The sequence below is a fragment of the Homo sapiens genome, chromosome 10 (assembly GCF_000001405.40).
Source record: "Homo sapiens chromosome 10, GRCh38.p14 Primary Assembly".
NCBI classification, from domain to species: domain Eukaryota; kingdom Metazoa; phylum Chordata; class Mammalia; order Primates; family Hominidae; genus Homo; species Homo sapiens.
In genome coordinates this window covers 96,341,955-96,368,340 of record NC_000010.11, presented here as the reverse complement: position 1 = coordinate 96,368,340, position 26,386 = coordinate 96,341,955, and the positions used below count along the sequence as shown (strand labels likewise).

At 42.3% G+C, this 26,386-nt stretch overlaps 2 protein-coding genes across 13 annotated transcripts in view, besides 1 other annotated feature; both read left to right on the top strand.

Annotated features, from left to right (window-relative positions):
• Positions 1-3,733, top strand: part of TLL2 (tolloid like 2) — a 149,319-nt gene extending 145,586 nt beyond the window's left edge. Inside the window, exon 21 of the mRNA NM_012465.4 lies at positions 119-3,733. Coding sequence (NP_036597.1) covers positions 119-253 — 135 coding nt within the window. The 3' untranslated portion in view covers positions 254-3,733. The remainder of the gene's footprint in view (positions 1-118) is intronic.
• A 5,605-nt stretch (positions 3,734-9,338) lies between these two features.
• OPALIN (oligodendrocytic myelin paranodal and inner loop protein) lies at positions 9,339-25,120 on the top strand. Of its 12 annotated transcripts, none has more exons than NM_001040103.3 (7): positions 9,339-9,447; positions 13,051-13,086; positions 14,856-14,894; positions 16,931-16,963; positions 18,515-18,634; positions 19,996-20,052; positions 22,224-25,120. In NM_001040103.3, exons 3-7 carry the CDS (start codon positions 14,886-14,888, stop codon positions 22,398-22,400), a joined length of 396 nt encoding a protein of 131 aa, NP_001035192.1. In that variant the 5' UTR covers positions 9,339-9,447; positions 13,051-13,086; positions 14,856-14,885; the 3' UTR covers positions 22,401-25,120. The 12 variants fall into 12 exon arrangements, 10 of the variants coding, with proteins under 10 accessions (NP_001035192.1, NP_001271251.1, NP_149984.1 ...); NM_001284322.2 differs by having other exon boundaries at positions 14,813-14,894; NM_001284324.2 differs by lacking the exon at positions 9,339-9,447 and adding an exon at positions 11,182-11,324.
• Positions 22,703-23,469: an enhancer, noted in NCBI's record as "OCT4-NANOG-H3K27ac hESC enhancer chr10:98104629-98105395 (GRCh37/hg19 assembly coordinates)". NCBI's record gives its function as "activates a minimal SCP1, AML or CMV promoter by ChIP-STARR-seq in naive H9 embryonic stem cells {active_cell/tissue: H9 hESC(naive)}" and the evidence as "EXISTENCE:reporter gene assay evidence [ECO:0000049][PMID:30033119]".
• Positions 25,121-26,386: the final 1,266 nt, after the last annotated feature.

Genomic DNA, 26,386 nt, shown 5'->3' with positions numbered 1-26,386 from the left:
GAGTCTCTGGTACCAGAGACACATCCTGTGTCCTTGCATAAGATCCTGTCCCATCCTCCTCATTTTCAACTCCAATCACAGCTAAAGTCCTTCTCGTTTCCCTTTCTCCTTTCCTCAGCCATTAGAAGAAATCTACTCTGCAGGTGATTCCCTGATGATTCGATTCCGCACAGATGACACCATCAACAAGAAAGGCTTTCATGCCCGATACACCAGCACCAAGTTCCAGGATGCCCTGCACATGAAGAAATAGTGCTGATGTTCTTGAAAGACAGAAACTGAGAATTTTTTTTGTTTTGTTTTGTTTTTAACAACAATAGCACCTTGAAAATCTGCCCTAAAACAGTGTACAGTATTTTTCTCAAACAAAAACTCAGAATCCAGCCTTAGAGGTATATATTTGAATGAAAGTCTTGTAAGTTTGGCCAACAAGGTGGAGAGAAAAATGTTCTTTTGCTTCTGTCTGCAATGTTATCATTCATGAACTGTTAAAGTGTTAAAGATTAGGATTGAAGTCACTGACCATTCCGGCTATGCTTCTTCATACCATTCTCCTTGTCCCTTGCTCCTATGTGGCAAAAGGTCAGCCTTGGGGTTGGCCGTTCCTCTAATCTGGACTTGCTTGCAAAGGTGCCAGGCTGTCTTCTGTCCATGTTGGGCATAAGGGATGAAAACTTGGCCGAGACTAATGTGTGGCCCACAGCTTTGGCTGGAATCATTTTCTTTCTCTCTGCCAGGGACATGTCAACCAAGAAACCTGAAAATATGGATGGATGTCAGGACTAAAAAAAGGCATCACAGTGAGCAGTGAGCACAGAGGGAGTTTCGAGTATAAGAATCATTGTCATGAAGTTAGGAGACCACAAAGCCATTTCTCAGAGTCATTCACTCTCCTTGTCCCTTTGGTTTCCCCCCCTCCCTAATTGCAGTGGGGGCTAAGGCATCCATTATGAATACAGCAGAACATTTGCTGGCGAGAGTCCTGTCTGCTGAGAAGACAATATTGTGGCTCGTCCTGATATTTTTTTCATTCATTGACTTTGAGAAGACTCCACCTGTGCTTGGAATTCCATGGGCTTCAAAGAACATTTCTTCTTTTAGCTTTGGAGGCACTTGCCGTGGCACACCTGGACTCCTTGACATCCAATTCAAACTGCATTTGCAAAATGTGCAAAGACCTCTTATGAGGGACCAATTCAGGTCCCTTATGGGGTGAACACTGTTGAAGACTGGTTAATTATAAGTTATGTAAGAATCATCGCCTTGTGGAACAAGTCAATCAGTGACTAGCTTCCTGTAGCCAATCAGGTTAAAGAGTGCGTTGGTAACTTTGCTCTGATTAACTAGTATTCAATCACCAACTTGCAAACAGAATTCATAACACTTGGCACTTGTTCTAGAGAAGTGTAGAGGATGATGTTTACATAATTTTAGCACCTCAAGGTATAATTTAAACAGTGAGGTAGTTTTGAATGGCATTTCATTAAGGCATCTATGGGCATTATGAGCTAAAAGCTGTGGTATGTTAGCTTTAAAAGAGTATTTATGTTGGAATAATTTTTAAATAATGTTTACATAACTGTAAGTCCTGTTTGGTTGTTGTTGGACGCAGGGCGGCACATGAGTGTTTTTGGTTAGAGCCAAGATAGCTCCCATGCACCGGAATTCCTTTGGGATGAATCAGCATCATTTTAAACAAAGTATATGTAAAAGGTGAAAGGTTATATTTTTTACAGATCAGAATGTGGCACCAGAGGACTGTGTCTCATTAAAGTGATTGCTGGGAGCAAAAACTAGAATGATACAAAGAAAGGTCAGAGAAATGCATGGGAATATTTTTTCCTTAAAACAGAAAAAAATTAAAGTATTATTAATAATATATGTCTGTATATATGTATGTATGTAAAAGATCAGCTGTCAAAGCCTTAATCAATGCAGTGTGGAAAATGCCAACCCCTGGTCCTCGCTTTACTGTGGGCCCTGCAGGACTGGCTCTCCATTTCCTGCCTCTCCTTTCACCAAGCTCTGTTTTGGCCTTTCTCGGCCCTGGACTGAGGCTCAGCCTACACGCTCATATTGTGCATATGGCAGACCCTGCCCAGCGTGCGCTTTGATACAGCAAATGGAGCAGCTGACCTCATGGCTCCAATCCCACCTGCCTGTTAGGGTAGATTCCATTTATCTGATTTTTGTATTTTCTGAGGTTTTATTTGGTCTCATCTTGTCTATGAGAGTTGAAACTGGAACTGGGAAACCTAAGATGGGTGTTATGGTTCTTTCTCCAAGGAAATAAAAATTCTGCAGTTTTAACCTTTAGAAGTCTAAGCAAGATTAACAAATTTCATAGAAAAGTGGGAGGGAGTCAGAAACAGAGTTGGTGCTGCTCAGCAGGACGGTGAAACAATGATACTTCTTTTTATCTCTTTAGTATGAACATTTTCAAAAACACACAGCTTCAACAATTGTCACCATATGGCCAATTTGCAACAATGGGACTCTTATGAAAAACCTTTATTTAGGCCTTCTGTGTGACGTATCCACAGAAAAGAGAAGCTCTGATTCAGCTGGGGCTAGCTGGGCCGCTCCTCTGGAAGCCCACACTTGTGGGGACTTAGGCATGACACAGGTTCTTGCAAAGAAACTAGAGGCTGGCTTCACTAGAGAGAGTCCATTCAGCAGAAAGTCCCAGGCCTCTGCCTTGGTGCTTCCAATTATCAGTGACCTGCCTGCAAGCATCCCCAGAAGCAAACAGCAGAGGTAGAAGATATCACTGCAGCCTGCTTTGTGCTTTAATTGGGTACCAAGCTTTGGGGATGACAGTGAGTTGCAAGAATAGTTTTAGTTCAGAGAATTGTCTTAGGACAACAGGCTAATGAAGGATTTGGGGTCTGGGTTTTTAGCCTGGCTCCGTTCTGGTGTAACCCGGTCTAGCAAAAGCTAAGCCTGGATTGCAGGGCAGGAAAAAATCTGGAATTAACTTTAGCCAGTGGAATTTCTTCAAACAGAGAAAGAGAGGCTGTTCATTGATCCACTATTCCCTCTATTTTCCTCTAAGGTAAATATTTAGAGGTATTTACCTGTAAGGTGAAGTTTCCTTTTTATTTCTACTTTACAATTTCTCTCTAAAGCAAGCTTGTCCAACCCTTGGCCCAGGACGGCTTTGAATATGGCCCGACACAAATTCGTAAACTTTTTAAAAAACATTGTAAGATTCTTTCTGTGATTTTTTTTTTTCTCGTCAGCTATCGTTAGTGTATTTTATGTGTGGCCCAAGATAATTCTTCTTCCAATGTGGCCCAGGGAAGCCAAAAGATGGGACACCCCTGCTGTAAAGTTTCATATCACTCATGAATTGCTCAGCTGATTTAAATAATTTGTAAAATCCTGCTAACTAGCAAATTCACATTGAGATTTTCTATTGATTGGGTCCCTTTGATAGCTTTCAGATTGGTATTGTTAGCGTTCCATTTGTGAACAAATGTTCCCTTGGCTTTAGCAGATGTTTTTAAAGTTTCTTTTGTAGACCGAACTTCTGAAGAGTAATACCAAATGCCTAAAATTTTATTTTTAAAAAGGAAAATTGTTTAAAGTATTATATGTAAACATATGGGTATTTTTTATTTTGTGTAATTTTACATTTCATGAAATGATGTCAGTTTCAAAGAGAAAGTGGAGAGGACCTAACATATGTCTCTACCTAGAACGGATGGTTTCATTAAAGAATGTGGATTTATTGATGTGTCTTGGGTTTGTATTGCTAATTCAGACCAGATGGGTCCTTTTAGTGCTAATTTTCTCCAATATCACAAGAGCTTGGGAGAGAGTACTAAAAGGGGGCCCTTCTCTACAGCCTTCCACTCTCTGGTTAGTATCCAAGTACTCCAGAACAGAGTTCACTAATGGACCCAGAAAGTCATGAGCAAAGCTAAAGATGGCTTTCAAATTTGTTCCCTTTCTTACACCAAAACAAGCTGAAAATCTTACAACCTAATTGTGAAGATGTCTGCTGCCGAAACCATCCAGATGTGGTAGACATCTTCCATTTGCCCCTCAGCTCCCATCGCCACCCTCCTCTATCTGGACATTTGTCTGAGGACTACATCTGACACCCGAGACTGAAGGTTATGGCTCCCAGTAGGTGAACACTACTGGGAGTGTTCCAGGCCTCCCCACTGGGGGCCCTGGAAGTTCCTCCTTCCACTTTCCACTTCAGGCTTAGGGGTGGTAATGACACCCTGCTTGTCTAACCTTGGGGTACTGCACTTCCCTCAAGGGAAACCTTTATAGGTAGTCATTTTAATAAACACTTTTCAAATGTAGTAATGAGTGTACATTACTTGTCTCCTGCAGGGAACCTGACTGATACAGGGTTATTTCTAACACAAAGACAGGGACTCCATCTGATAAGGGACACCCTCTTCAGGTTGATTAGATGAAGAGGCTTTGGGGTATGTTTGGAGTTTTGTGGGTTATATTACAGAACGGTAATTATACAACTGTGTTTTTAGAAGCACTCAGATTGCTCTCAGTGCAAAATCCTTTAACACATGCAGTTGTTTTGTGCTATACATAGTCTCAAGATTTTGACTTTTCTGCCCATTTGCAGTCACCAATTACATAGAGTTGATAGATAAATAATTGATAGATGATAAATAGATGATATAGGTAGATAGGTAGATAGATAGATGATAGAAAAAGAGAGAAAAAGAAAGAAAGAGAAAAAGAGACAAAGAAAAAGAAAGAATGAAAGAAGAAAGAACAAAAAAGGAGAAAGAAAGGAAGAAAGAAAGAAAGGAAAGAAAGAGAAGAAAGACAGAAAGAAAGACAGACAGAAAGAAAGAAAGCAGGCTATAGATCTTCAGCAAGGTTTATCTTCTATAGCTAACGGTGAGTCCCAGTGGTGCAAGGGCATGAATGCTGGTATATCAGTCAGCATGGGCTAGCTTATGCTGCAACAACTATCCCCCAAATCTCAGGGGCTTTATATAAGATTTATTTCTTGTCCACACTACACATTCATTTCTGGTCATCTGGAAACTCTTCCATATCATCCTCAGTCAGGACCAGGCTGATGAAGCAGCAGCATCAGAACATTGCTGGGTTTTATAATACAGGGAAAGAAAGGGTGGCACATGACACACTGGCTCTTAAAACTACCTGGAAATGATATATTACTTCTACTCATTTCATTGATCACAGCAAGTCACATGGATGTCCTTAACTTCATGACAAGAACAAGGCAAACTAGCAACATTGGTGGGCAGCAGTAATGACTCTCACATGTGACATTTGTAGATAGGAAAATGACTATAATTCTTCTGTTTGTTCTAAAATTTCACTTTATCCCTACCTTATTATTAACATTTTAGATAAAGATTTCTAAAAATTAGAACAAGGCCACTGCAACAATGTTTGTATACCCACAAAATTCATGTATTGAAATCCCAGCCCCTCATGTAATAGTATTGAGAGGCGGGGGCTTTGGGACGTAATTAGGTTATGAGGCTCCAGAGAGATCCCTCAGCCTCCACGTGAGGACACAGAGAGAGGACAGCTGCCTAGGAACCAGGAAGCAGGCCCTCACCAGACACTGAATCTCCTGGCACCTTGATCTTGGACTTCCCAGCCCCCAGAACTGTGATAAATAACTTTCTGTTGCTTATAAGCCACTCAGTCTGTGGTGCTCTGTTTTAGCGTCCCAAATGGACTAAGACAGCCACCTGTCATTTAGAATGGTCCAGTTTTTTAAGCTGACCGGTTGTTACAGGGAAGACCATCCATGTGATTGGGCTTGTACAAATTTAAATGGTGACAAAATATAAATGATCCGAGATTCTCAGAGTTGGTGGCCCCAATCTTTCACCCACTAAGGGCATTCCATCTATGGTTTCTAAGGAGATGATTCTCAGGCCCGACTTCCAAAGAAGGAGAGCTTACTCACTTCATCCATTCCTTCTCCTTTAGGTAACAATGCCAAATTCATTTTGCAGAACCACCTCTTCTTCCATTGGAGGGACCCTCACTGGGGGGACTGTTAGCCAGGTGGTACATCATCCTTGGCCATATGAACCAAGCCAGACCAACCAAATCCTCTTCCTGGGACTGGAGTCCTGATCAGAGAGGCAAAAGGGCTGAGATATTTTGGAGCTCAGTTTCCCTGGAAGGACACCTCTGAAAGACCGTCTGGGAGTTGCTGCTGCTGAAGGTTTGGGAGCAACCTCACTCTGTCCTTCCAGAGCCTGGTTCTCTAGCCCTCTGTCCTTTCTGAGAGCTCCACTATACTCAGTCAGTAAGTTCTCCTTTTCTGTATTGTATTGTATTGTATTGTATTGTATTGTATTGTATTGTATTGTATTGTATTGTACTGTACTGTACTGTACTGTACTGTACTGTATTGTATTGTATTGTATTGTATTGTATTGTATTGTATTTTGAGATGGAGTCTTGCTCTGTCGCCCAGGCTGGAGTGCAATGGCATGATCTTGGCTCACTGCAACCTCCGCCTCCCAGGTTCAAGCGATTCTCCTGCCTCAGCCTCCCGAGTAGCTGGGATTACAGGCATGTGCCACCATGCCCAGATAATTTTTGTATTTTTAGTAGAGATGGGGTTTCGCCATGTTGGCCAGGCTGTTCTCGAACTCCTGACCTCAGGTGATCCACCCGCCTAGGCCTCTCAAAGTGTTGGGATTACAGGCGTGAGCCACTGTGCCCGGCCAAATTTTCCTTTTCAAAAAATTAAGCAGAGTCTGGTTTTGATGCTTGTGACTGGGCAGTCATGACTGATGGACACTTAGGCAGGGGTACCAATTGCCTGAAGATGTCAACAATTCTTCTAAAGAGATAATGTGTCCATCAGAAGGCAGAGTTATGGATCAGTGGATGCACAGCAAACAAAAGTGCCAAAAAGGACCTCAGTGGCCCTCCCCATCCACAAACAGCCTTGCCAGAGAGTGCTGGGGCCATAAACTGGAATTCTATGGTCCAGGTTGATTCTACGCCAGTCAAGGAAAATTAAAAGCATCATTTGTACGAGCTGTGCTGATTCAAGTAGTCTAATTGCATAAATTGTATCATCCCTGCTTTGTAGATTAAAAGACTCAGACTGGAAGAAGTTATTTCACTTGCCTAAGACCATGCAGCTTCCAGTAGGGCAGCTGTGGCTCTAAACAGAGGTCTCTCTAGACCATGTTGTCACCAGTAGGTTCAGTTTAGGCTGTCACTGTGGAGTCTTGGAAACTGGAAGCCCACAAGGCAGAGGCCTCATTGGTCTTGTTTAGGATAGCATCAGTGTCGGCCATGTTGCAGGTGGCTGATTACCACAGTCTAAGAACTGATTAGAACAGCAGCTGTCACCCCTGACTGCTCGTTAGCGTCCCCTGGGGATGCCCCTGCCTCACTCTGATCAATCAAGTCAGAGTCTCTGGGGGCAGGTTCTAGGCATCAAGAGTTTTTATAACCAGCCCCCTACCACTCCCTAGGTAATTCAGGTATGCAACCAGGATGGAAAAACCACCTGATTAAAGGCAATCTGGTCTCCACTGTGCCACTAAACTGCTCTTGTCAAGGCCACCAGCAACCCCGATACTGGGAATCAGAAGGCTCTTCTGACCTCTTCGGAGGCTACCTCTCAGCAGCAGTTGATACAATTAACCAACATCTACTCCCCTTCTTGAATCAAATTTCTTTCCTGTGACCCCCGAACTTATCTGATTTTCCTGCCTCACTCAACTCTCCTTGCTAGTGACACCCCCTCTTCCAGGCTGCTAAATGTCTGTGAACCCCTGGCAGCTGTCCTGGCCCTCTGCCCTGTCTACCTGCTCATGCACACCGGGGGCTTTAAAACCATCCACAGGCCGGCCACTCCCAAACGGATGTCTTCAGCCCCAGATCCCCTTTATCCAGTCGCCTACTTGGCACCCACACTTGGACAGCCCCTAGGCTACTCAGGTGTAAGGGCAATCTGTTTCTCCAGTATTACCTGCCTAAGCTAATAGCATCTCCATTTTTGTTAGTCAAGCCTCAAACCCAGGAGTTGGCTTTATTCTTCTCTTTCCCTCACCTCGCCCTTCCCCGCCCCATATTTTTTTCATCATTTAATCCCAGTGGCTCCACCTCCACAGTAGAGAGCACAATCATTCACTGCTGTCTTCCTACAGCAGCCACCTTCATCGCTCACCTGGACTCCACTAGCCAGCCACCTGCTTCCACTCTCTTCCCCTGTAATCTTGGCTCCACAGAGAAGCCCTAGCAATCCTCGTCACCAGCAATTACATCATGCATCTCTCCCACTGAAAAACCCTTGGAAAAGGTTTCATCTAAGGATGAAAATCTTACCATGCCCTCCCATGTCACATCAAAAGGGCTCAAACTCACTCCGTCCTTAGCCCCTTCCCGGGTGACTCCCTGGTTTATGTTGTTCCAGCCAACCGGCCTCCTGCCTGCTCTGGGAGTGCACCAAGCTTACAGGGCTTAGCATTTGCTGTGGCTTCTGCCTGGGACTCTCCTCCCTCAACCCTTCACATGTCTGCCCTCTTCTCATCTTTCACGCACAGCTTCAGTGCCATCTCCCAGAGTCATCTAAACAACGGCCTCCTCTGTCACTTGAGTCGCTCTCTCCTTACACTCCTATCTGCTCCTCTCACAGTGGTTTTCATTTCAATGGCCAAATTATTGGTTTAATTCTGTTGTTTTATTAGCAACTCATTCACCATTTTAAAGAGGCAAATCCCTAACAGGGAAATTGTAAGTTATAAAGCAGCCCAAGTCCATGGCTTCCTCCAGGTCTAGAGAGCTTCCCACCCAAAATACAAAAACAGAGAGGGGGTGAGGCTGAACTCACACCAGGCAGCTCATTGGCCACTGAGTGCAGCACCTTGCAGCAGCTGGAGCCCCCAGCAGTGTGACTCCTGCAACAGAATGGGCCCCCACCCCTCCTCCAGACATCCCGAATGTCCATGCTGTTGTCCATGTAACACAATGACTCCATCATTATCAGTAACATGGTTAATGTGGACTCCCGTCAGCTGGGGATGGAGTGGCCAGCCTCAGCCTCATGTAACCCATTGTTTCCAAAGGGCTGCAGGCTGCAGAAGCCCCCAAGCTCTCAGGCCAGCTGTGGCTTCTTTGCTGAGATGGAGGTATAGCCAAGAAAGCAGCCTGAAAAGTAAGGACAGAAAATCAAGGCAAAGAGGGTGGGTGAACCAGGCCATACACGTCGGCCATGCAGCAGCAGCCCATCTTTCCCGAGGGATGGACTGAGGGCTTGGCTACTCCCCTGACCATAAATGGCTTGGCCAGGGTTCTCTTGGAGCCACCTCTCAGCCTGCCTCTGCAGCTTTGTCAGTTAACTGTTCCTACAAATGAAAGACACAAGCCAATAAAGCCAGTGAGAAAGGAGCTTACCAAAGGCAGTGTACGAAGAAGGTTCCTGGGAGACTGTCAGAAATGGTGAGTGAAAGCTGGCATCTCTTCTCAATCGAACTTTCATTTCTTACTATAAAAAACCTCCAAATTCAATTAAATGTACAATGAAGTAAAGGGACTTTATTTTAAATTATTTTCCTATATGCAAAATACCAATAATTTTTTAAACTTCTCACCTAATATTTGCTGATCTTGTCTTTCATTTTGGTATTAAGGTTTGTTTTTAAAACCCCACATACAAGAGTACAGAGTAGATGTTTCACCTATGTTCCCTTTCTAGTTGAAGCAATGGATCTAATCAACGATTTTATCTGTCTTACTTGTTTAATCTGGCTTTTTGTTCCATCATCAGCAACATGGATGGTCATCATTGATCAGAAATTTTCCATCTTTCTTGTTTACTTGTGATAAATATTTTGTTGTGACTCAATCAAATGAAGTTTGCTAAGTTAGAAGAGAAAACAAGAGGGTTCTGTGATTTACTAAAGAATTATGGAAACAGCCTAGGTGTCCATCAGTGGATGAATGGATAAAGGGACTGTGGTTTATATGTATATATACAACTGAATATTAGCTTTAGAATAGGAGGAGACCCTGCCATTTGCCATGTTTGTCCTATTTGGACCTGGAGAACATTATGCTAAGTGAAATAAGCCAGACACAAAAAGAAGAATATTGTGTAATCTCACTTTCTTGTGGAATTTTTTTTTTTTTTTTTTTTTTTTTTTTTTACAAAAAGCATTGTTAAAAGGAGTAGAGCTCAGTCTGTGGAGTTAGGGAGATCTGTGATCTAACCTGATCTCTACCACTTAAAAGCTGGTGAGCAAAAACCTATCTTGGTCTCAGTTTCCACAGGTATAATATAGGAATAATAGTGCTCCCTTCATGGGGAGGTTGTGAGTATGGGGTCTTATACCCAGCACACCTTCAACAGCAGTAAGTTTTTATCCTGTCTCTTCCTCCTTCCTCTCACAAACTGCAAACTTATAATGAAGGACGTTCAGCCACTGAGATCCCAAAATGCCTTCAGAATCATTGTGTAGATACTGCATAGTGCTCAGACTAGCAGTAAGCAATAATTGCATTGTATCCAATTCTAGTACTTTGACTATCACTAACTCATGCTTGCAATTCCATTCCACAAGAACTTTCCTATCCTTAGCTCTGTGCTGGCCAGGCCATAAAGAATATGCTACCACGTGATCCCTAAAACACAGAGGGTGTTTTACAGTTTGGGAGAAAGGAGCTGCCACAGATGACATTACGGTATTCCCTTGTGAAGTGGGCAAGGCAAGTTAATAGTATCCCATTTTGAGAATGGGAAAACTGAGCCTTGGAGAATAGATTTGTTGTGAGAAAATGGAGACCAGAGGGTTTGAGTGACTTATCCAAGACTACACAGCTCCTAAGTGGCTAAGTGTGGGCTCGAATTTAGATCAGGTGGCTCCAAGCTCAGGGTTGCATCATCCCACTCAGCTGTGTCTCTGAAGGGCACTGCATCAGATTCTTCTCCACCCTAATTTGTGCGATGTTTTTCTCTCCATGAGAGCACTGTACTGTGTTTCTACAAAATATGAGTGTCTTTCTGAAATTGGCCAAAATCTCCGTCATCCGAATGTTGATAAACAACACATGCAATGGCCCACTTGTTGCTGCACCCCCTCTTCTACTGTCCTCCCAAAGGAAGCTTTGTCTTAGGGCTGCTGACATCAGTCCTCAGTGCCCACTGATGAGATAAAGCTCTGGGCAGCTGCATTCAGTGCAGCGACCATCCAGTGTCCTTGCAGCACGTGTTGGTCTGGTGCTAGCGTGAAGAGCAGTGGTTAGGTCCCTTGAGCAAGAGGACCCTGACCTAAGAGGCCCAGACGTCCCTGTGTTCCACCGTCATCCCAGAAGCAGAGGTGCACAGTGCTGTCAGCCTGGGTGCTCTGATTCATCCACAGAGACTACTGGAGTTGCTTGGAAGCCTTGCAGAGTGGTGGAAAGAGGTTGTCACCGGGACACTCAGGTTCTGGTGACAGCTAAGTAGTTGTTTGGACTTGGGAAACCTGTTCAAATTCTTGAGGCTTGGTTATTCTCTATAAAATGCGGGTGTCCTATTGCCAAGAGGGGGAGAAGTGAGCAGAGGCACCACTGAAGCGTGCTAGTTGAGCAGGGCCACGTTGATTGAAGGACATAATATTTGGGGCAAAAGCTAGGGGGACTTACACATTCTAGGTGCTTAAAACACTTCTGGTTCACAAAAGATTTTCTTGTTCATTAACCCATCTGAATTCCAATCCATCAGTAAGTCAGCTGAAATAGGTGTTTTGTCAGTTTGCTTCTGTTGGGATGAGATCCTCTGTTACCATCTTTCGGGTTGGGGTTGAGTCACATAGACTGCGGCCCATTGGCTGGTCTATGTGGCTCCAACTGTTCTCATTTGTCCATGAGGTGATTTCTGATAAGTCCCTGGGTTTCAGTTTCCTCTGCTGGAAAATGAGGGTTTTGAGAGAGATGATCTTTCAGGTAATTCAGGTGTGAAACATGATTCTTTTGGATTCTTTAATGTTTCACAACTTTCCTATTGTTGGATAACATTTAATTTTAAAACTTAATGAATGCATTGTTTCTACAATGACAGAATCTGGTCTTGGGATGCTGGAAAGACGGGAAGCTGTGGTGTAGACCAAGCCCAGGGAAATATCTGGGGGTCAGGGAGACCGAGGCTGAAGGAGGGCCCAGCCAGGAGGTATTAATCCAGGGTGGCTGGACCCAAGGGGCTGAGAGTCCAGAAAGTGGGAACAAGACCACTTCCACCCAGGGAAAGAGGGGAAAATAGTTTCACTGGCTGAGTCAGAACAGGTCCACCCATCATTCCAATCTAGGTAGGGAAAGGACTTGGTAAGGAGCAGCCTGGAAAGGCTAGAGTAACAGGGGCTAGGGACAGGGAGGAGAAAGGAGCCACCTGAGGCCCTGGGCAGGCTACTTGGTGCTCCACTGAGCCCACGATCTTTAAATTTGGACTCCATATTTGCGGGAGAGGTGAGACCATCTACTAAGTGAGGGGAGGAAAGAGAAGGGTTTGCTGTTCCCCTGTCCTCCTGGCCACTTCAGCTCCAGCAACCTAGAACCTCTGCCTCAGTTGTAGCAAAAACAGAAGCCTTGCCTTCCCCGGGTAAGGATCAGGTGTTCTTGTTAGACCATGCCCTTTGGGGGTCTTACCTTCTACTCCAAGGAGAAAACACAAAATACTTCTAAATTCAACAGTTTTCTGTCTCAAAGGAGTTCTAGAGGGAATAAACATAATTTTAGCCTTTTGCTGAATTTCTAGTCATGTGTTTGCTGCCCTTGTGAATGGGACCCCTCAGACAATAGCCTTGCAGGCTGCCTCTTCATCTGATCCTGGTCGAGGACCTGGTTGGGGGCGGTGGCAAGACTGACTTGATGCTGAGGGAGGAACTCATGACAGGCTCCTTGCCTCCCCTTCCTTCTTTTGGGGCCAAGACTGTGCAGGACGATGGGGGCTGGCTGAGTCTATAGGATCAATGACCTCTCGGAATCCACCAGGGTCAGTGAGTTTGAGGAAGTGAGGAAGGAGCTTGCTGACCATCCCTGGGAGCTTTAATGTTTACTTCTATCTTGCAGAGTTTTTCACTGAACTTCACCCTGCCGGCGAACACAGTAAGTACAGCAGCCCCCATTCACCAGGCAACGCAGAGAAGACCAGTGCAGAATTTACAGTAGGTCTCCAGAACTCACATAAACCCCTCACACACGGTGATAAGTTACACAGACTTTCTTTTTTTTTTTTTTTTTTTTTTTTTTTTTTTTTTTTTTTTGAGACAAGGTCTTGCTCTGTCACCCAGGCTGGAGTGCAGTGGCATGATCTCGACTCACTGCAACTTCCACCTCCTGGGTTCAAGCGATTCTCCTGCCTCAGCCTCCTGAGTAGCTGGGATTACAGGTGTGCACCACCATATCCGGCTAATTTTTGCACTTTTTAGTAGAGACAGGGTTTTGCCATGTTGGCCAGGCTGGTCTCAAACTCCTGACCTCAGGTGATCCGCCCACCTCAGCCTCCCAAAGTGCTGGGATTATAGGTGTGAGCCACCGTGCCCGGCCATTTACATAAACTTTCAAAACGCACTGAGGAATAGTTGAGAGATGCTGAGAGAATTTATTTCCATTATAAAACTTATAAATACACATTTTGAAAAGGAAAATAGGAAAACAACAACAACAATAAAACACCTAAACTCTCATCAGCAGAAAACTGGTGTAACCCTTCCTGTCCTGTTTGGCGTTACATAAATTTTGACTTTTGTTGCCTTTGTACTATTGTTTTCTTACTCTACATATAATTTTATATCTAAATGTTTTCCACTAGTCTTTATAACCATAACTGTTATATGGTTAATCACATAATCATGTGATCATATTATGATCGCATAATATTTTTTCAAGTTAATTATTTCTTCAGTTGATTAACTATCATTAGGAATAACTTTGTGATACATGGCATTTTAGAGAATCCTTATCTGCATTTAAGATAATTTCCTTGTATGTATTCTAAAATGGGAATGATTGGGTCAACAAGAATGAACATTTTATGGCTCTTGATTATGGCATTTAGTTGCAAGTCAAAATTGAGGTTTTCAATTGTCGATGTTAGAGTTTCAATCCACAGCTGATCCTCCGTCTTCTGTTTGCACATTGCATATAGATAACACTAAGAGCCAAGGTTGTTATCTGATCAGTAGCACTACTATGGTTGAGCAAGGCATTTTTCTGGCCCAGTTTTTTAGTGGGCTTGGCTGTGCCACATTTTTCTGATAAGTTGTCTGGTTATTCAAAGAGAATAAACTGAATCTTACTCGTAAGAGGACTCCTAAGCCAGTGCTCATTTTACTGAAACATGGGGGCATAGTTCTAGAGAGTAGCATAAAGTTAGAACATTGTGACTTATTGCTGGACCTGTGGTGCCCACCACTGTCTGCCCAGACCTCTGTGAACTGAATACATTGGCACCTGCTCCAGCCTCTGGTGGGGGGCACTTCTGAACCTCCCCAACTTGCTCTGCTTCCCTGCTTCAGCTTCTGCCTGTTGGTTTCAGGCAAATTCCCTAATTCTTCCTCTTTTTCCTGTCAAAACCTTTTCCTTCAATCACTGCTGGAACTTTCCCCTGGCTGTTGGAACCCAGCAGGTCCATAGACACTCCAGGTTCTGTGTTATCTTGGCCCATCACATCAAGAGAATGCAGAGAAGCAAGAAGCCATTTCTTGGGGAGTGGGGGTGAATGGGGTGGAAGAGAGCCCTTATGTGGCCAGTCATCACCCTTTGGAGTACTCTCTTGGTTAACAGCTCATTTCTCTGAGAACTGTCTCTTCACCCCTTTGATCCCGTGTAGAGCAACCAACCATTTTGCTTTGCCTGGTGTTGTCTGTTTTTAGCACTGAAAGTCCTGGGCAGCTCTCTGGACAATGCGGATGGTAGGTCATCCTGCCTGGAAGTCACATTTCTACTGCATAACCCTTCCACTTCAGTGCAGCTGGGTAGCCTGGGAATGCCAGTGCCCTGGGAAGTGGGACAGAGGTGGGCACCTGGATCCCTCTCTGCGGGAAGTTTGGAACAGGGCTCCCTGCTGGCCAGTCCCTGCTGAGGACTGAAATGCCAGGTTCAGTCTATTTGTCAGTTCAGTCCATACTGAACTGTCAAGTATGAAAAATGGGACTAAGACACTGCATTAGGCCATGGAGGCCATGTAGCACAGTGGTTAAGAGCATGGATCCCAGAGCCAGACTGCCCGGGGGGGTGTCACCTAGGGCTGTGTGACCTTACACAAGTTACTTCACTTCTCTGTGCCTTGCTCCTCTCATCTGTAAAATGAGATCATCATAGTCCCATTACTATTCACTGGCAGTTGTATAGAATAAATAAGTCAATATGGGAAAAATTCTTGAACAGCCTGGCACATCCTAAGTGCTCCATGGCATTAGCTGGTACAATTAGCAGGAGTTTATGAGGGCAGAAAAGTCCATCTGGAGAGAAAGAGAGAAGCAAACATCAGAGAACAGTACAGGCAGAAGGCCGTGCTGCTCTGGAGCGAAGGAGAAAGGAGGGTGCCTTCGGTTCACACAAGTTCCCCGTTCCAAGGTCCACTCCCTGGAGAAACCAGCTTCCCACCTGTCCTTGGGCTCCATGGGACACTCCCATATTCTTAGAGTTAACACCTTCCTTTTTTTTTTTTTTTTTTTAGTGAAAGCCACCCTAAGTGTATTTCTGTACTCTGAAGACAGGAAGCCTTACCTGAAACAATGGCTGATTCTTCCTACTACCCTTAGAGCACCTTAGGGAAATGCAGGATTAAAGTAGTGTGGGGGTAGGGGTTGGGGAGATTGTGATTAGGTCAAAGGACAACCATTTAAGTACCAAGTTTCAGTGCCTGGTCATCAAAACCTTCTTTTGATGGGAGCTCTCTGGGAAAGAGGTCTGGGCTTGGAAGTCAAACATCCAAGTTCAGATTAGAGTTATGATTATCTGTGAAACCTTGGACAAGCCCCATAACTTCTCTGAGATCTATTACATTTTTTTTTTGTAAAATGGAGTTAATAATTGTCAAAAGTCCAAGCCCCAGGACTCCAGTATACTTGATGAGATTGCTGAGAGTATTAAATAAATAACAGATCTGGACAGAGCTTTGCAAAGTGTAAAGGGCTGACAAGAGTTCATAGTTCTGCTCCTCATTCAATCCTCCTAATAACCCTAGAGGCAGCTACTACTATCCCTGTAGATATTGTGTAGATAGAGACATGCAACCCCTTAGCTTGTAAATTGAGAAATGGCTGTTCTATGGCAGGCAGTGTGAGCCCAGGACCTGTGCTCTTAATCCCACAGCATACCACTTAGTGTAGTTTACATAGTTTCTCATGCAGAACTTTATTCCTTTAGATTTCCTAATCAAGGTAAACTCTTGCCTGAAATATCTTATAAATGAGTGAAATCCAATAACTCATTGGACCAATAACTCAGTGGACCAGAAACATGTAATGCATTCATTTCATGTAGAATTATCCCCAGGAGCATGGATATTTGACAACTTCTGCCATTTGTTTCATCACATACTTGAAAACAAGCAAGGCTTCCTTAAAGAGCCTTGCTTCCACCAGTATTTATATGTGTTTCCCTTCTAGCAATGGGGACAAGTAGGCCCAAAGTGTGCCAGGTGTGCTGACTAGGGACAGGAGGAAGCCCTTTTGAGTTGTAAAATGTGTCACGGTACATCCACAGGGTGAATAATGAAGACATTGCCTGAATTTCCTAATTCTTTTCTCCTTGTAGCCAAATTTTATTCCAATTCTTACCTGGGAAGCAATCAAGTTAGGTTCTGTTTGGTAGTTGTTAACAGAAAGTTTAGCAAAGGGATAAACTTTAGGCTTTATAGCCTAAACTTTGGCAGATTGTCTTGTATAATGTATATTCTATAGACTTTTTGTTCTTTTACAATATATGTTCTTTTTCCATACAGACGTCCTCTCCTGTCACAGGTGGGAAAGAAACGGTAACTATATCACTTAAATTTATAAAATGGGGATAATAATAATGCTCCATCCATCTTGAGCATTTGTTTTGAGCTTTAAAGTTTGATAGGTGAACTGTCACTAAGCACAGAATCTGGCTCAAGAATTATTCTTGACCAGCTCCGCTCAAAAGTGAGGGAGAACATGCAAAATCACAGATGGATTTCACAAAGGGTTGAGCAAAAGAAGCCAGACACAAAGAGTGCATATCTTATATTTGCATCTATATTATGCTGAAAAACAGACAAAACTACTCTATGGCAATAGATTTCAGAATAGTGGTCACGCACAAGGAGGCTGGAAGAGATTTGAGGGGGATCCTGAGATACTGCTAATGTTCTGTTTCTTGATCTGGGTGTTGGTCTTATGGGTGTATTCCTCATGTGAAAAGTCATCCACTTATATATTTGTGATTCATATACTTTATTATTCTTCAATAAAATCAATTTCCCCCTAAAGTGAAGTGAAGGTGAATCCATTATTAAATAACAGTTGCACTTTTATAGGGTTTCTGCAGATTATCTTCAATATTTCCAGATAGTCTGCAAATCTGAAAACTTATGTAACTAAAAGCATGACTATTTCCACTCCGATCAAAGCAAAATGGGAATTTGAAAATTAATAGGTTAATGCATTTATTGCAAATAAATTTTTTTTGAAAGGCTAAATGTCACTTTTTTATTTATTTATTTTTATTATACTTTAAGTTCTAGGGTACATGTGCACAACGTGCAGGTTTGTTACATATGTATACATGTGCCACGTTGGTGTGCTGCACCCATTAACTCGTCATTTACATTAAGTGCAAATAAATTTTTTTAATTCATATTAAAATAGTGTGGTATGGCTGGGCATGGTGGCTCAAACCTGTAATCCCAGCACTTTGGGAGGCCAAGGCAGGCAGATCATGAGGTCAGGAGTTAGAGACCAGCCTGGCCAACATAGTGAAACCCCATCTCTACTAAAAATACAAAAATTAGCTGGGTGTGGTGGCATGCACCTGTAGTCCCAGCTACTCAGGAGGCTGAGGCAGAAGAATCGTTTGAATCCAGGAGGCGGAGGTTGCAGTGAGCCAAGACTGTGCCATTGCACTCCAGCCTGGGCAACAGAGCAAGACTCCATCTCAAACAAAAAAAAAAGTGTGGTGTATAATAAAAGCTTTTATTTTTAGCCAAACAGGTGAAAATGACATCTAATTGTTGCTCTGAATTGTATCTCAGCTTTTCCTACATTGAAGAGACATTTGTATTTCTGTTCTAAAGAATACCTGTTCATATCCTTTGCCCATTTTTCTACTTGATCATTACTCTTTCCAACAGATTTAAACTGTGTAAATTAAGTCCTATGAAAGTAAGTCATTTGTCATGTGTGTTACAAACATTTTTGCACAGTATTTCATTACCCTTTTGATTTTGTATATGACGTTTATGATCCATGCAGATTTTTTGTTTTATTTTTATTCTATTGAATTTTTCCTTTATTATTGAAGACTCTGGGCTTCCTCTGACCCTGTGTTTTTCATTCTGTGCCAGGACTGTGGGCCCTCTCTTGGATTAGCGGCGGGCATACCATTGCTGGTGGCCACAGCCCTGCTGGTGGCTTTACTATTTACTTTGATTCACCGAAGAAGAAGCAGCATTGAGGCCATGGAGGTGATTACTAGCTTCTTTGGGTCCAGATGTATAGGCAGCCACCAGTATTTCAGTGAACTGGCTTTTGGACTAAGGGTGTCAGAATTCAGGGCCCATGTCTATTTCCTGAGGACAAGATGCTGGAAGTTTCTGGGCCATAATTTCCACTGCAGACATGACATTAGGCACCAGACAGAGCTGATTTGTCATAAAACCTTCAGGTCAGTTGAGGAATTCCTGACAAAGATGGTATTTGGGGTAACAAAAAGTAGCAGTGGAGAAGGATGTCTGTTGCCATGGCAAACACATGTCTGTACAGTGGGTGTGCTTTCTAAAGTTGAGAAACAAAAGCGCACAAGCTTCACAAAGAAAGGATGGAGATAACGTTAAGAAAGATAGGAGATGAAGAGGGGCTGAGGTGTCCATGATAGACACCATGATAGAATCACAAGGGAATCTATATCCTCCCCATCCAATCCACCCCTCCAATGCCAGACTGTTCTGGGGACTATGCTTAGAAATCAAAAGCCACCTAGACTCATATCCAACAAGGTTCCATGGTTGTGACACAACTGTGTCATGTGGACTCTGGGTTCTAATTCTATTCTCTATTTATTGACATTCAAGGTTGTTATCATATGGGTAAACATTAATTAAGAGATTGAAAATTGAGGTTCTAAACCTGACTCTGCCACTTTATGATTTATATGATCCTGGACAAGTGACTTAACATTTAATATGTCTTGGTTAGTTCAACTCCAAAATAGGAGTCATAGAAACTACCCTCCCTATTTTAAGAGGTAGGGAAAGTTATAAGGATGAAATGAGATAATGGATGATGAACATTTTTACATGTAAAGATGTGTTGACAAGCTGTAAATTTTAAACACATCAAGAAGTATTGTGGTTAGTGGTGGTATTGTTTAAGTAATAGTTTCTCAACCTCCAGTGCACTTTAAAATTATTTAGGAAGCTCAAAATTTCCAATCACCAAAGCCAATTAAATCAGAATTTCTGGATGACAAAGCTGTGGCACTGATCTTGAAAAAACAAAAACAATTTTTTAATTATAATTTCAAACATATACTAAAGTAGAGAGGATAGTATAATGAACCCAATTATTAACCCATGGCCAATATTGTTTCATCTCTACTCTCACCCTGGATTATTTTTGATAACTCACAATGATATTTCTTGGCTTAGGTATGGGTTTGGTTTGGTTTGAGGGGTGATGTTATTAGATGCCTCTGTGCTTGTTTTGTTTGTTTTAATGTACACTCAGATTTAAAAAGCACTGATTTTAATCATAGTTACGGTCAAATGCTATAACCCTTCACTTCTTCTTCTTTCTTTCTTTTATTATTATATTTTTTCCAATTTAGGAAAGTGACAGACCATGTGAAATTTCAGAAATTGATGACAATCCCAAGATATCTGAGGTAAGAACTCTTGGTTATACTCTCTATATACCATTCACACAGTAAACAAGCTAAGTGTTTGAAAGCCTTTCACCAAAAGAAGCACAGTATGAGCACATGTAGAAAAGAGATGACCAAGAGGAAGCTCAAGCACAAAGGAGGTTCTCAGTGCATTTTTATTGGCTGAACAGAAATTCAAGCTCCCTTTAATATTAGACAATCAATTTAATATAATTTATTTTACTGACAAACTAAAATGGAAAACTCATGTGACCATCTCAATAGGGGAAGAAAGTTCAAAAAAACTTAACAGTGATATGAACTCTCAGCAAATTAAAAATAGAATGGGAACTTCCTTGACTTGAAAGATGTCTTTTTCAAAAAATTACAGCTAACATCATACCTAACAGTAAAATGTTGAAAGCATTCTCTTTAGATCAGAAATAAAACAAGGATCTTCACTAACACCACTTCTATTCAATATTATACTTTAGATCCTAGTCAATGAAGTAGGATTTTTAAAAATTAGAAAGTATAGGTCCGGTGCAGTGGCTCACGCCTGTAATCCCAGCATTTTGGGAGGCTGAGGCGGGTGAATCATCTGAGGTCAGGAGTTTGAGACCAGCCTGGCCAACATGGTGAAACCCTGTGTCTACTAAAAATACAAAAAATTAGCTGGGTGTGGTGGCGGTCGTCTGTAATCCCAGCTACTCGGGAGGCTGAGGGAAGAGAATCGCTTGAACCTGGTAGGTGGAGGTTGCAGTGAGCTGAGATCGCACCACTGCACTCCAGCCGGGTGACAAGAGCAAGACTCCATCTCAAAAAAAAAAATTAGAAAGTGTAACACTGAAAAGGAAGAAACAAAATTGTCATTATTTGCAGATGGTATGATTGTCGACATAGAAAAGCTAAATCTGGCTGGGTGCGGTGGCTCACGCCTGTAATCTCAGCACTTTGGGAGGCCAAGGCAGGTGGATCACCTGAGGTCAGGAGTTCTAGACCAGCCTGGCCAACATGGTGAACCCCATCTCTACTAAAAACACAAAAGTTAGCCAGGTGTGGTGGCAGGTGCCTGTAATCCCAGCTACTTCGTGGGGGGCTGAAGCAGGAGAATCACTTGAACCTGGGAGGCAGAGGTTGCAGTGAGCTGAGATCACACCATCACACTCCAGCCTGGGGGACAAGAGTGAGACTTCATCTTAAAAAAAGAAAAAAAAAAGAAAGAAAGGAAGAAAGAAAGAAAGAAAAGAAAAGCTAAATCTACAGAAAAATTACTTGAATTAACAAGAAATTTTAACAAGTTTACTGGATACAAAAATCAATATATAAAAGTAATTTATACTTTCAACATCAACAACAATTAGAAAAAGTGATTTTAAAAATTACCATTTGTGATGGTAATTGGTATTAAAATATGTAGAATGCTATGGAATAAATCTAACAAAAATATGTAATACCTTTATGGAAAATAATAAAACTTTGGTTAAAAAACCCATTAAATAATACCTAAATAATGGGGGTTGCATACTATGCTCCTGGATAGAAAGTGTTAATAACATAACGATGTCAAACAATGTTGATCTATATAACAGATGTAATTTCAATATAAATCCCAATCAATTTTTTTCATGGAACTTAATGAGGTTCTTCTAAAATCTATATGAAATAAAGTAGAAAAAGAGTTAAAAAGACACAACAAACAGGTAGAACAAACAGAAAACAAATAGCAAGATGGTAGATTTAAACCCAACCATATCAATGATCACATTAAATGTAAATGGTCTAGATACCCGAATTAACAGGAAGAGATTTCACATTGGCTATAAAAACAAGGTCCAATCATATGATGCCTACAAAACTCACTTTAAATATAAATACACAAATAGATTAACAGTTAAAAGACAAAAAATGAGAAACTTTGTTAACAATAAACAAAAGATAGTTGAGTGGCCTGAAAGCTCTCCCAAAGCAGTAAGATCAGGTAATTGTGGGTCTCTCCTCATTTGTTTTCTGTCTCTCCAGGACCATTGTCCCTCCTTGCCTGTTGTCTAGTGTCTTGAAAACTATTGCTTCAAATGTTGTGTCTGATTTTGGTTATTTCAGGTGGGAGGGTCAATGTGGTTGCTGTTAGTCCATCTTGTATGAAAGAATTCTCTGCTGTAGTTTTTAAAAAACCTATTTGTTTCCTTAAGAATCCTAGGAGATCACCCACACATGAGAAGAATACGATGGGAGCACAAGAGGCCCACATATATGTGAAGACTGTAGCAGGAAGCGAGGAACCTGTGCATGACCGTTACCGTCCTACTATAGAAATGGAAAGAAGGAGGGGATTGTGGTGGCTTGTGCCCAGACTGAGCCTGGAATGATGCAGCTCAGTCAAGGAGCAGCAGACCTGGCACTGGAACAGGGTTGAAAACCCAGGGTTTTGTACTTGGAGAGGAAAGATGCCAAGCTGCTTCTTAATCAATCCAAATTTCATTTACAGCTCTGGAACACTTTGGGGCTGATTTGTCTCTTTAGGGGACATCCCCAACATGGTTAATTCCAACTCTCAGATCTTGTGCTTTAGTTAGTACATGTGACTCACCAGATGGGGTCCTTAGATCCTATTCCTGCTCCCAGTGGGAATTTGCTTTTCTTTGTCATTTTGGGAAAGGGGCTTGGTTTCTGAGTGTCTTGCCTTCTCATCTTTTTTTTTCATATCCTTTTTCTCAAAAAAGCCATCAGATCTGACTTTCATGGAAGTGTTGCTGAGGTCAGCCTGGTGCAAGTTGGGATACAAATGAAACTTATGCAGGATGTGTGAGAGGAAGCAGTTAATTGTTTCTGAATATCTCAGGGTAGGAACCATGTGGAGCCACACATTCCCTGACCACAGGGAAGCACCTGGCTCAATCATGTCACACAGCAGTGGAAAGAATACGGACTCTTAAGTCACACCTACCACTGAGCAGCTGTACGACTTTGGAGAAGTTGTTTAACATTTTCAAGCCTCAGTTTTTGCTTTTTTAAAGGAGGGGAAATATTTGCCTCATGTCATAATTGAAAAGATTAAATAAGAAATAAAGGGAAGTGTCTGCTACTTAGTTGCCAGTCAAAATGTTAGTTCTCTCTCTCTACCACCTTCTTCCTACCTCTTCCCATATTGCTTGCCTGATAAAACAGCTAATCACCAGCATTTGTTCCCCATAGTCACAGGGCCACACAAGGGAACATTTAGGACAAACTTTCTCCATGGCCTATGATCCAAATTGTTATCTAAAGATGATTCTAGGTGTTGCTGGTAGTATGTGAATCTTCCAATCTAGGTGTGATCGTGTCCTCATATGAATCAGGAAAAGGCAGTTTCTTACAAGTTCCGAATTCCAAATACAGAGACTGGTGGTGTTACATTTAACCTTAAAGATGTTAATGTTGATGGAAATTCATGTTTCATATTAAAACAACACTTTGTCTTTACAATGAAACATTTTGCTTAATTTTTAAAGTAAGACATTATGATACCTCTGATGGCAGTTCCTCAAATAACTTTAACTTTTGTGCTTTAGGGATAGTTGTTAAAGTTACAACTTCTTTTATTTTATTTTTTAAAGGCTTCAGATTAAACAAGAGCCCTTAAGCCCACGCATAGCATTGCCGCTTCAGCTTGCTGAGGACTGTCTCCAAGGAGGCCAAATGGAAAAGGAGAGGCTACTTCAAGTGGTGTTGGCCCATTGAGCCTATTGGGCAAACTATAACCAGGTTGCCTTATTTTGGGTGGATTACTCCAGGAGAGGCCACCCTCCAGCTTTCTCTTATCCCAGTAACTCCTCTTCCCATTTTCCAATCCATCCCCAGCCTTTTTTTTTTTTCTTCTGTACTCTTCTTTTGCCTTCAATATGAGTTTCATTTCCTCTGTGTCTTTGGGCAGACTTCCTTCTAACATGTGTCAGCTACCCTACCACACACCTGGCCTAGGAGACACATCATTCATTGCTCCTACTTGTGTCTGTAATCAGAGAGTATTTAAGGAGGGCAGTTCTGCGACGGACTGTGTGTGTGTTGAAAGTAAAGATGGGGGGCCGCGGGGAAGGCAAGAGTTTTTCCAAAAGATTATTAGAAATGAGGGCTGTATCTACTCTGTGGAGTAGAACCAAGTCTACTTGGAGAAAAGAACCAAGTCCTTGGATATCTAGGGGAAAGCTGTTTGGCAGAAAGAAAAATCAAGAGGACCCAAGGGGATGGAGACAGGACCACAGGAATGGGCCAAGGAGCAACGTGCCTGCCATTCAGCCAGCTTGGGACAGGCTTTCACTTTCACTCCCATGAGGAGGCTTCCAGGCAGCCTGGTTCCCCCATGTATAGCCATTGCCCTCTAGCAGGCCAGGCCTCCCAGTGGGAAGGCCTGGGTCCAGGGCATCTTAAGTTCATCCAGCAGCTCCATGAGCCACACAGATATCCTAGAAAATATTCCTTTCTCACACAGGGCTTCTGATTACTCAGAAACATGCCCCTCTTCCCTGAATAACCAAGAACATGTTCTATGAACCCAATCTCTGCCACATGTCAATACCTGCTCTTCAAAGCCCCTTTTGAAACTCAGTTTTGTGCCAAGTCCTCTGGATCTAATTACCTTAAACAAGCAGATTTAGCCATTTTTAAACAGACATTCCCAGTCATCCTGGTGCTTGTACTTCTCCTACATGTCATGAAGGACCTTGGATTTACTGAGAACTCAGCCGTGGCCTTGGCTTTGATACTTATAGGTGTCAGCCCTTGGGCCGATTGTTGATCATCCAGAGCCTCAGTTCTGTACTTGTAAAGTGGAGACAGCAGTTCTCATCCTCCATCCTTTTAGCCCATGGGGTGGTTGTAAGGCTGGATTGAAATATGCATGTGACTAAGCCATGTAGCTATAAAGTGAGGGATGACTTGTGTTTTGGATCACTTATTTTAATTCTACTTATAATCCACGGCTTAGAATATTTAAACATTGTTTCTATTAAACTAGAAAGGTTCAGCATTTCTGTCATTTACTTCTGCTATGATACACAAGAACTTATGTTGGAATGAAGTGAAAAGTAAAATGGCCATTCTTATGAACCTACAAAATGTTTGTGGCTTTTCTTTGCCTATATTAGAGAACATTGGCTCTGTCCCTGGAACCAAGATTATCCCAGGGATATTCCCGATATTGGCACTTTCTCTGCCAGGCTAGAAGACATTCAGTCTTTCATGGAGGGCAGCTCTGTGTGGTAAGCAAAATGATGAGACCCAAAGTCAGAAGCTCTGCTTCCCTAACCCAGGGCTGCTGGTAAGTTAAGTGACCTTAGTCAGGTTGCACGATGTGTGTGGGTCTCATTTCCTCCTGTATCATCTGGTGTTTGAATTGGTTTATCTATAAAGTTACATCCATCCAGTCCAAACATTCTACTTTGATTTTCCCCAAACCCTGCAAAGCACTCCTTCTGCCTGCCTGTTCCTCACTCCCATCAGCACAGCCTTCTATACCCTCTATGATTCTTCTCAGTTCCTGACTTTGCTGGTGGAGACAGATACTCACTTCTTCTTTATTTTGCCAAGAAATAACAATTATTAGTTTTGCTTAAGGCGTTTTTCCCTGCAACATTGCGATGTTAATTGAAGACCAAAAAGTGATAACTAATTTTTGAAAGATTGTGAAGTCATATAACCTTTGCCCTCCCACCATCTTGATGAGAATTATTGCTTAATGCGTGAATTGATTTAACAAATGTGCACTGGCTTCCTTCCAATGTCAGACAATCTGCCAGGTCCTAAGACAATGTTGGGGGCATAATGAAAATGCTAAACTGGGTGTTTGTGGAAACGTTTCTCTACCCAATTGAATGTGAATCTCCATCCAAGGAAATAATATCAGGAAAGCTTTTATACAGGTGCTTTGCCTCTAAGCTCAAAGACATAAAACTATCTCTCTTGGGCTCAAATAAGATAAGAATCTATACTCTTCTTTTTCCTTTACCTGAAGTTAGAGGAGAAGGAGAAATGGGCATAGCACTTCAATCCTCTGAGAATTCCAAATGGCTGAAATGTCTGGTTATGTCAGGGCATACATTAAAGTGCTGTACCTCCAAGTAAAACTCAGAAAAAAACCTCTCTCCTCCATCCTATAGAGAGGCTACCTGAACTCCAATAAGTTAAGGGGTGAAAAATACTAAAACTGGACAGGTGAGACTGGGGAACATTTTGGAAGTTGGCCGAGTTTGTCCAATAGGCTGTAGAACTATTTCTAAAACTGAAGGGGGCCTCTGGAGGACAGGGTGAGTGTAACCTGGGGCTTAAAATCTGATTTATAATGAAAGAGAATCAGTTTATCATAGACTTTCATTTCCAG